At 52.6% G+C, this 10257-nt stretch overlaps 1 annotated feature.

Moving 5' to 3' along the window:
* Nucleotides 9037-9537: an enhancer, noted in NCBI's record as "H3K4me1 hESC enhancer chr5:176800703-176801203 (GRCh37/hg19 assembly coordinates)". NCBI's record gives its function as "activates a minimal SCP1, AML or CMV promoter by ChIP-STARR-seq in primed H9 embryonic stem cells {active_cell/tissue: H9 hESC(primed)}" and the evidence as "EXISTENCE:reporter gene assay evidence [ECO:0000049][PMID:30033119]".

Here is a 10257-nt window from a genome sequence, read left to right as displayed (position 1 = left end):
TTAGCTATCGATCAAATCCATCAAGAGATATAATTCCAAAATGCTGCTGATTTACACAGCCACCACTTCTAAAGATTTATTTTGGGGCTACAGCCCTAGTGAAAGTGAGAAAATGCTGGATCTGACCAGAGCTGCTGTTGGGACTCATACAAGCAGCAGAGAAGGCAGCTCCATTCCAGCACCAACGTATCTCTTGCCAGCCTCTCTGCCATTTCAGCACCTCCCTGCCTACTGCCTGCCTCCTCCCTGGCCAGTGACAGAGTCTGTGTGTCCCCCTGGGTGGTGAGTCCCACCTTGTCTGTGCACCTGGGCTCTGGCCATGGCCTCCCCAGACCTTTTCTGGGCTGAGAGCCTGCCTGGTTGGGGGTGTCTCGCGTTGAGAAAGGAACCCAGCAGGAGGAGCTGTTTTGGAGGGAAGGTGCCAAGCTCCGTCTGCTCAGGCTTTCTGAGCGGCCTCTGGCACGAGCAGTTGGCTCTGCAAGCCAGAAGCACGCACTGTGCTTCTCACCCCAAACCTGGGCCTCCTCCTTCTTCCTGATCTTGGTGAGCGGCACACCGTCCATCCATCTGGGTCGGGCACCAAGCAGACATCCTTGCTGTTTCCTTCCCCTCCACTTCCTCGTTTCCAACTCAGTCCTCAATTCTCCCAATTTTATTGCTCCAGGAGCTCCCTGATCTTTTGCTGTTAGCCATCTCTGTGGCCACCTCCCTGGACTGGGCCTGTCATCTCCCCTGGGTCATTGCGGTCACTTCCCAAGTGCTCTGTCCATTTCTGCCCTTGCTGCCCCTGATCCATGCTCCAAAGCAGCAGACAGCAATCTTTTCAAAATGCCAAACTAGGCCGGGCGCGGTGGCTCACGCCTGTAATCCCAGCACTTTGGGAGGCCAAGGCAGGTGGATCACCTGAGGTCAGGAGTTCGAGACCAGCCTGGCCAACATGGTGAAACCCCATGTCTACTAAAAATACAAAAAAATTAGCGGGGCGTGGTGGCGGGCACCCGTAATCCCAGTTACTCGGGAGGCTGAGGCAGGAGAATCACTTGAACTCAGGAGGCAGAGGTTGCAGTGAGCCGAGATCGCACATTGCACTCCAGCCTGGGCAACAAGAGCAAAACTCTGTCTCAAAAAGAAAAAAAAAAAAAGGCCAAGTTAATCATGTCACCTCCTCTTCCTTTCGAAACCTGCCCCTGCTAACCACTTAGCATAAAGCCCAGGATCCTATAGTAGCCTGGAAGGACCAGGGTGACTTGGCTTCCTACCTGCTTTGCCAGCCTTAACCCGTGCCTGAGAAACTGTACCCCAGGGAGGACATGTACAGGAGGAGAGAAGGGGCCAGGGCCAAGCCCAGAGGAGCACCCACTTTTTTTTTTTTTGAGACAGAGTCTCGCTCTGTCGCCCAGGCTGGAGTGCAGTGGCGCGATCTCAGCTTACTGAAACCTCTGTCTCCCAGGTTCAAGCGATTCTCCTGGTTCAGCCTTCTGAGTAGCTGGGACTACAGGCACCCGCCACCACGCCCAGCTAATTTTTGTATTTTTAGTAGAGACAGGGTTTCACGATGTTGGCCAGGATGGTCTCGATCTCCTGACCTTGTGATCCACCCGCCTCAGCCTCCTAACGTGCTGGGATTACAGGCGTGAGCCACGGCACCTGGCCAGCACCCACATTTAAGGGAGACTGAGAGGAGCAGCCACGGACCAGGAGGAAGCCACCTCAGAAGCCAGGCTGGACCACATTTTGAGAGAGACACCCTGGTTGGCTGGGTCAAGTGCTGCTAAGATGTCAAGTAATCTGAGAACAGAGAGGCTTTAACAACCAAGGGCTGTCAGCCACCTGGGAGGGCATGTTGGGGGAGGAGTCAGCTTGTGATGGTGTGGGAAGGAGCGGGAGGCGGGGGAGCAGAGACAGCATCGCCAGCGTGAATATGAGACGCTGACATATATTAAATTTCATCACACCAGTGAAAACCATTTCTCCGGGAGAGGCATCACTGCTGAACGGAGAGAGAGAGAACGATCCCAAGAACAAATGTGCACATCCAGGAACTGAGCAAGCTGTGGAGGCTGGCACAACCAGCCGTTTCTGCAATTCTTCAGAGCCATGTGCTCCTTAAATGCACAGTTTGCTGCATGTGGGTTTTCCGCAGGACCTAAAGTTGAAGATGGTCAAGGGAAGAAGAACCCTTGAGCATCTTATGCCGGCATTCACACCAGCACAACTGCCATGCACACAGTCATGAGTGTGCACTGCACACGTCGGGGCGCATCCCCTCCAAATCTCAGGCCTGTAATCCCAGCACTTGGAGGCTGAGGTGGGAGGGTCACTTGAGCCCAGGAGTCCAAGACCAGCCTGGGCAACATAGCAAGACACTGCCTCTAAAAAAATTAATAAATAATTAGCCAGGTGTGGTGGCACGCATCTGTAGCTGGGGAGGCTGAGGTGGGAGGATTGCTGAAATCTGGGAAGGCAAGGCTACAGTGAGCTGTGATTGCACCATTGCCCTCCAGCCTGGGTGACGGAGCGAGACCCTGTGTCAAAAACATAAATAAATAAATAAATAAATAAATAAATAAATAAAAGAGGCTGGGTGCGGTGGCTCACGCCTGTAATCCCAGCACTTTGGGAGGCTAAGGCAGGCAGATCACCTGAGGTCAGGAGTTCGAGACCAGCCTGGCCAACATGGTGAAACCCCGTCTCTACTAAAAATACAAACATTAGCCAGGCGTGGTGCCGCGCACCTGTAATCCCAGCTACTTGGGAGACTGAGGCAAGAGAATTGCTTGAACTCAGGAGGTGAAGGTTGCAGTGAGCCAAGATGATGCCACTGCACTCCAGCCTGGGTGACAAGAGTGAAACTCCATCAAAAAAAAAAGAGTGAGAGAGAGAAAGAAGAAAGGAAGGAAGGAAAGAAGGAAGGAAGAGAAAAAAAGAGACAGAAGAAAGGAAAGAAGAAAAAAAGGAAAGAAACAAGAAAGAGGAGAGAGAGAAAGGAAAGAAAGGAAGGAAGGAAGGAAGAAGGAAGGAAGGAAGGAGAGAGAGAAACCGGGTGCGGTGGCTCACGCCTGTAATCCCAGCAATTTAGGAGGCCGAGGCAGGTGGATCACCTGAGGTCGGGAGTTTGAGACCAGCCTGACCAACATGGAGAAACTCCGTCTCTATTAAAAATACAAAAAATTAGCCGGGCATGGTGGCCCATGCCTGTAATCCCAGCTACTTGGGAGGCTGAGGCAGGAGAATTGCTTGAACCCGGGAGGCGGAGATTGTGGTGAGCCGAGATCACGCCATTGTACTCCAGCCTGGGTAACAGAGCAAGACTCTGTCTCAAAAAAAAAAAAAAAAAAAAAAAAAAAGGAAAGAGAGAGAGAGAAAGAAAGAGAAAGAAAGAAAAGAATGAAAGAAAGAGAAAGAAGGAAGAAGGAAGGAAGGAAAGAAAGAAAGAGAGAGAAAGAAAGAAAGAAAGAAGGAAAGAAAGAGGGAAAGAGAAAGAAAGGAAGGAAGGAAAGAAAGGAAAGAGAGAAAGAAAGAAAGAGCATTCTGTCCATGACCTGGATTTTCATTTTGGGGGGATGGGAAACTGACTAATAACCAGCATAACCTCATAACAGCGTAACAGGCTTTCCCATCAGTGTAGTTTGAGAGCTCCTACCTCTTCTCACAAGCATGTTATGTATTCAACAAACATCTAAGCTCCACGATGAGTCAGCACAGTGCTGTACGTTGGGTGTATGGCAGTGAACGTCTCATCCCGGCATTCAGACCAGCACAATTGCCATGCACACAGTCACGAGTGTGCGCTGCACACATCAGGGGCACATCCCCTCTATATCTCTTGTCAAAAAAGTGGTTCTCACCGGTGGGTTCCCTTTGGGTAACAAAGCAATGGCTTTCCTGGCCTCCTTGACTTTGTCCTCTCTTGGAGAGCCTGGACTTCAACAGAGCTGCCTGGCCCCAGCACAGAGCAGGCAAGGCCCTGAAACATCGTCTCTTCCAAGTTCTATTTTCCAGATAGGGGCCCAAGGCTAAAATAAATGCTATGGGTCCAGGGCAGGGTTGGCTGACCTGTGAATGCCTCGTGCCTGTTTAGGGGATAAGTGCCCTGCGTGAATTATTAATCTTGGTGGCCAAGGCACTGGTCACTCATTTACTGATAAGGCCAAAGTCTGTGGCCAAAAGAGCTGAGGCTGCTTTGGGCTTTTCTCAGAAGTCACCTCTTCCCCTGCAGCTCGCTTCCACATATGGCTCTAGCCTATCACACTGGCCTTAGGACCAGGCCAGAGAGGGAGGCTGACAGCATGCTACCAAGGCGGGCCCCGGCTCTGGTGTCCAGGTCCGGACCTGAAGCTCTGAGGTCTGGCTTTAGACTTCAGGTCTTAGGCTCTGTATTTCAGGCCTGGAGCTCATCTCCAGGTTCTGGGATCTTCTCCCGGCTAGGAACTCCAGGCTCTGCACTCTAAATTCTCAGGTTCAAGCTCTGGGTTCTGGGCTCTGGGCTCTGAGACCCAGTCCCCTGGCCCTAGTTTCTGGGTTCGGGTGTCAAGCTTGGGGCTCTGGTTCTAGACACTGGGCTCCAAATTCTGGGCTCCAGGCTCTGATTCCATATTCCACACTGCAGGTTCTGAGCTTCAGGCTCTTGGCTCCAGCTTCCGGGTTCTGGGCTCCAACTTCCAGTTCCACACTCCTGGCTCCAGGTTGTGGTCTGGGTTCCAGGTTCCTTCAGCTCCCCAGCACTGGGTCAGGAACACAGTGACCTCCCTGGCTAGTGGGGTTATCCCCACCTACCCTTCTTAGCTAGCTGGGACTTCATGCTGGCAGCCAGCGCCCTAGGCCAGCCTGAGGGGTGATGCTGGTTCTATGGCAGTCCTCCCTTTGCTTTCTGTCCCTGGTCTAACCCCAAGCCAGTTCTCTGGAGACAGGTGCTAAGATGGTTACTGAGCACCCCTTGCCCAGACCCTACAGTTTTCACAGTCCACATGGACACATTCATGTTCCCAGCTCTTCCTGAGCCCACCAGGCCCACCAAGGATGTGAATGGTGCCCCCTGGAGTTGGGCAGTTCCTGATCCTGTGCTCAGCCTGAGCTGCATCTGATTCAATGTAACGAACCAAGTGTGTTCCCCGCAACCTGGGCCTTTGTCTCCCCATGGTAGCTGACTTCCAGCTTCTTCTACACCCGCTCAAAAGCCAGGGTCACCTGACTACCAGGCTAGACACCCTGCGGGGTGCATCTTGTGATCACCTCCCTGGGGGTTGGGGCTGTTGCCTCAGCACTTCCGGCAGGGGCTCCAGATGAGCAGCCAGTGCCTATTCCTGACTCCTGGAACTGTGGCCCAGAACCCAGGACACTGTGCCCTGTGCTTGCTCTGTGCCCATTTTGTGCCATCCTCTTCCCCAGCCCCAAGACTTGGTGAAGGTGGGGGGAACCAGAGACAAGTAGCAAGATTGTCTCTTGAGGACTTGGAGCCACATGGGCTTGGGTACCCTGCGTGTCCTCAAGAAGGTCATGCCTGTGCTATTAGCCAGTGCCCTCTGCTAAATGGGGTGTTGCAAAGATGCAGAGAGGTCAAAAAACAACAGTGTGTGGGCCAGGCGGGGTGGCTCATGCCTGTAATCCCAGCGCTTTGGGAGGGCGAGGCGGGTGGATCACCTGAGATCAGGAGTTCGAGACCAGCCAGGCCAACATGGTGAAACCCCGTCTCCAAAAATAGAAAAATTAGCTGAGCATGGTAAAAATTAGCTGGACATGGTAAAAATTAGTGGGCGCCTGTAATCCTAGCTACTCGGGAGGCTGAGGCAGGAGAATTGCTTGAACCTGTGGGGCACAGGTTGCAGTGAGCCGAGATCGCACCACTGCACTCCAGCCTGGGTGACAGAGCGAGATTCCATCTCAAAAAAACAAAAAGCAAAACAAACAAACAAACAAAAACAGCGACTGTGTGTGTTCTCCCTTCCTTCACACTGCACACTGGGTGGACGGGCTCCTCCTGGCTTCCCACCTGGTGGGGTTGGGGAGTGGCTCCACCATCTTTTCTGACCACCCATAAGTCAGCTCAGAGCAGTGGCTGTGAAACAGGCCCATGGGCTGACCAGCTGGTGCTCCTTACCCCTGCCGCAGGTCTGAAGGAGGAGGCCATGGGCCTGGGCCTCTCTCCCAGCAGATGGGGCCTGGCCAGGCAAGGAGGTGAGGATTCTGGGAGCACAGAAACTGGGAGGAAGGAAGCAGTTCCCCCTCAGCCCAGGGCTGCTTCAGGGGGTGTGTTGGGAAAAGAGTCTCAGAGGAAATCATGGCAGAGGGGCACACTCCACCAACTAAAATGGGCCGAGAGGGGTGGTGGGCTCCAGCCCCCGAAGGAAGGACTGGGCTCTACCAAAGAATGGTGGACCATCAGGGACAAAGAGGGATCTTGGGGAGTCCTTCGCATTATTGTAATGATTAAAAATTGTATCCTTAAAAAAATTAAAGCTAAGATGAAAGTCTCTTTTGACCACTACCCCCAGTCCTGGTCCCCTTCCCGTCTCGTTAGTTTGGTGATTCTCCTGCCTCAGCCTCCCAGGTAGCTGAGATTATAGGTGTCTGCTAATTTTTTATCGTGCCTGGCTAATTTTTACCATACCCAGCTAATTTTTACCATGCCCGGCTAATTTTTCTATTTTTAGTAGAGATGGGGTTGGCCAGGCTGGTCTCGAACTCCTGACCTCAGGTGATCCACCCGCCTCACCCTCCCAAAGTGCTGGGATTACAGGCGTGACCCACGGCGACCGGCCCACACACTGTTGTTTGTTGACTTCTCTGCATCTTTGGAGAACATTCTCTCTCCTTTCCCTACCCTTGTAAGTGCCTGTGCGCTTGTGGTTTATATAAAGTTATGCCATGTGTATTGCTGTGCTTTATTTCACAGTACAACAGCACATCTTGGAGGATTTTCCACATTAGAACACGCTGTACCCAGTTCTTTGTCTGCTGTGTGGTACTGCAGAGCGTGGACACGCTACAGTGTATTTTATTAGGTCCACCCCCAGCCACATAGAGTTGTTTGTTTTCGGGTCACAGATAACCCTGCGGGGATAGGCCTCTTTGTGCCCGGGAGTGAGTGATTCTCTAGTGGCATCACTGAGGTCACACACTGTTTTTAATTTTTGGCAGAAACTCCCAAACTGTCCCCCTGGAGTAGCCATATCAAAGCACTCTCCTGGGGCCAGGCGTGGTGGCTCACGCCTGTAATCCCAGCACTTTGGAAGGCTGAGGCAGGTGGATCATGAGGTCAGGAGTTCGAGACCAGCATGGCCAACATGGTGAAGCCCCGTCTCTACTAAAGATACAAAAAAAAAAAAAAAATTAGCTGGGTGTGGTGGCACGTGCCTGTAATCCCAGATACTCGGGAGGCTGAGGCAGGAGAATTGCTTGAATCCAGGAGGTGGAGGTTGCAGTGAGCCGAGATTGCACCATTGCACTCCAGCCTGGGCAACAGGGTGAGACTCCATCTCAAAAAACAGAACAAAACAAAACACACACATAAAACAAACAAACAAAAAACCACAAAGTGCTCTCCTGGGAGAGGACCTGGCTCCCCATCGGGGATTTCTGCAGCATCTAGGCCCCCTGGGGTGTGTCCCCATCAGACAGCCTGGGTGCTGGTGAAGCTCCCGTGACAACTCCTTCCAGGTTCCTGGGCTAGTCACTTACCCTCTTGCAGCCTGAGTTGGTCTTCACCAGGTTGTTTTGTTGTGAAGGCAAAACATGAGCTAAAGGATGGACCTCAGTAATGTGAACTTCAGTTCACATTGGGGACCTCAGTAAATGTGAATTCCTGCACCTGCAGGGCTGACCTCTGTGCATGCTCTTCTCCCTGGCCCCTAACCCTTTATCATGGGGCAATCCCATTGGTCCCTAACAGTAGCTGGCATCATTGCCGGGCCCACAGAAGTACAGGACTAGGTGAAGGGTGGGCTTGCCCTGCGGGATCTGTTAACTTTGGAGAGACAGCCTATCTCTCACCTCTCTATCCTGGAGAACATGGAAGGGTGTCTGTCTCCTCCCACAAGGGAGAAAGTTCTGTGGCTGGTCAGAGAAGGGACACGGGCTTGTCTCCCTACCCCAACCTCTGGCCACACACTGTGAGGGTGCTATGCAGTCCCCTGCCAGGACCACCAATGCCCTGCTGCCAACGCATGCTTTGCTAAGACTATGTGAGACTGTAGGGTCATTTATCAGCCCACTAGGCCAAGGGGATAGAGTGGTGATTAAGATGGACAAGGTCGGCCAGGCGCAGTGGCTCATGTTTGTAATCCCAGCACTTTGGGAGGCCTAGGCGGGTGGATCACTAGAAGTCAGGAGTTCGAGACCAGCCTGGCCACCATGATAAAACCCCATCTCTACTAAAAATACAAAAATTAACTGGGCATGGTGGTGCATGCCTATGATCCCAGCTACTCAGGAGGCTGAGGCAGGAGAATCGCTTGAACCCAGGAGGTGGAGGTTGCAGTGAGCCGAGATCGAGCCGCTGCACTCCAGTCTAGGCAACAGAGTGAGACTCCATCTCAAAAAAAAAAAAAAAGATGGACAAGGTTTCTACCATCGCAGCATGAGTATCATCATATTGTCAGCACGAGTATCAATCAGTAAACAAGGTAATTGCACAGTGGGATAACTACTGCAAATTTAGAAAACTGGCTAGAATGATAGAGAACAGAGTCAGGGAGCCCATCCCTGGCTATACTGGGTGACTAGAGAAGGATCTTCTGAGGTGTTTAAACAGAGATCTTCAATGAGGCAGGACTTTTGTAGTTGCAGGTCTTAAAAACCTCTCATGGTAACAAGCACAGACACGAAAAGGATTTATTGGCTTGCAAAAGGAGAAAAGCAAGGAGTGTTTTATTTCAGGTATAGCTGGATTTCGTCAGGAATCTTCCTTCATCTTTTAGTCTTGCTCTCCAGTGTTGGCTGCATTCACATGCAGGTTCGCTCCCTAAGGGTCCTTTCTACAAACCCCAGGAGACGGTAGAAAATGACCGGGACTGGGACTCTGATTGGAACACCTGAGGTCAGAGGACTATGTCTGAACCAAATTCTGGCCAGGGAAAGGTACTACTCTGATTGGCTAGTGGAATGGAGTACGCTGATTGGCCAGTGGAATGGAGTATTCTGATCAGCCAGGCTTGCCAGGGATCCGGTTATGCCAGCCAAACAAAATGGGCTGAGGGGGCAGAGGTGTGAAGCTCCCATAGTGGGACAGGGTGGCTGGCAAACCCCACAGATTTCCAGGAGGAGGAGGAGCCAGTTGACTGCGCACGGGGCAGGTAAGGGGAGTTCCTGGCAGAGGAGACAGCGAGTGCAAAGATTCCAATGGGGAAGGCAACGTGACCTGTTTGAGGCAGTCAGGAGACACCCCTCACTCTCTCAGGTGCCTTCTCCTGGCCCCTACACCCCCTAGCTTCCTGTTGCAGCACTTACCTCTCTGGGCTGGAACCCAGTCTGGCTTCTCTCCCCGCAGTCTGGGGCCCTCCTTCTGGGAGGTCCTCCTTGCCTCCCACAGTGAGGGGTTTGGACTTCCAGCTAGACCACCCAGCTAAAGCAGGTAAGAGTGAGAACCTGCCCCTGAGGGGCCAGGTGCGGTGGCTCACGCCTGTAATCCCAACACTTTAGGAGACCGAGGCAGGCGGCTCACAAGGTCAGGAGATCGAGACCATCCTGGCTAACACGGTGAAACCCCGTCTCTACTAAAAATACAAAAAATTAGCTGGGCACGGTGGCGGGGGCCTGTAGTCCCAGCTACTCAGGAGGCTGAGGCAGGAGAATGGCGTGAACCCTGGAGGCGAAGCTTGCAGTGAGCCAAGATGGCCAAGATCGCGCCACTGCACTCTAGCCTGGGCGACAGAGGGAGACTCCGTCTCAAAAAAAAAAAAGAGAGAGAACCTGCCCCTGCTACAACAATCAGTGTCCCCCTTATAGACCTTTGGTGCCCTCAAAGGATTCTCCAGTTATGTGTGCAGAGACACTCAGTCCCCAGTAGAAGCAGAGAACAGGACCAGAATGATGTACTCAGATCCACAGAGACCACAGTACAACAGCAACATGATGGAGAGGCACAGCTCCCCACAGGGTTCTTCACCCCCACACCTCTCCCCGCCCTCTCTCTCACCTCCACACCATGACAGGTCTCACTCTGTCATCCAGGCTGGAGTGCGGTGGCACGATCTCGGCTCACTGCAACCTTCGCCTTCCGGGCTCAAGTGATCCTCTTCCACCTGTCTCCCAAGTAGCTGG

The sequence above is a fragment of the Homo sapiens genome, chromosome 5 (assembly GCF_000001405.40).
Source record: "Homo sapiens chromosome 5, GRCh38.p14 Primary Assembly".
Taxonomy (NCBI): domain Eukaryota; kingdom Metazoa; phylum Chordata; class Mammalia; order Primates; family Hominidae; genus Homo; species Homo sapiens.
Note: the sequence above shows the minus strand (reverse complement) of the source record. Positions and strands in the feature narration are given on the sequence as shown.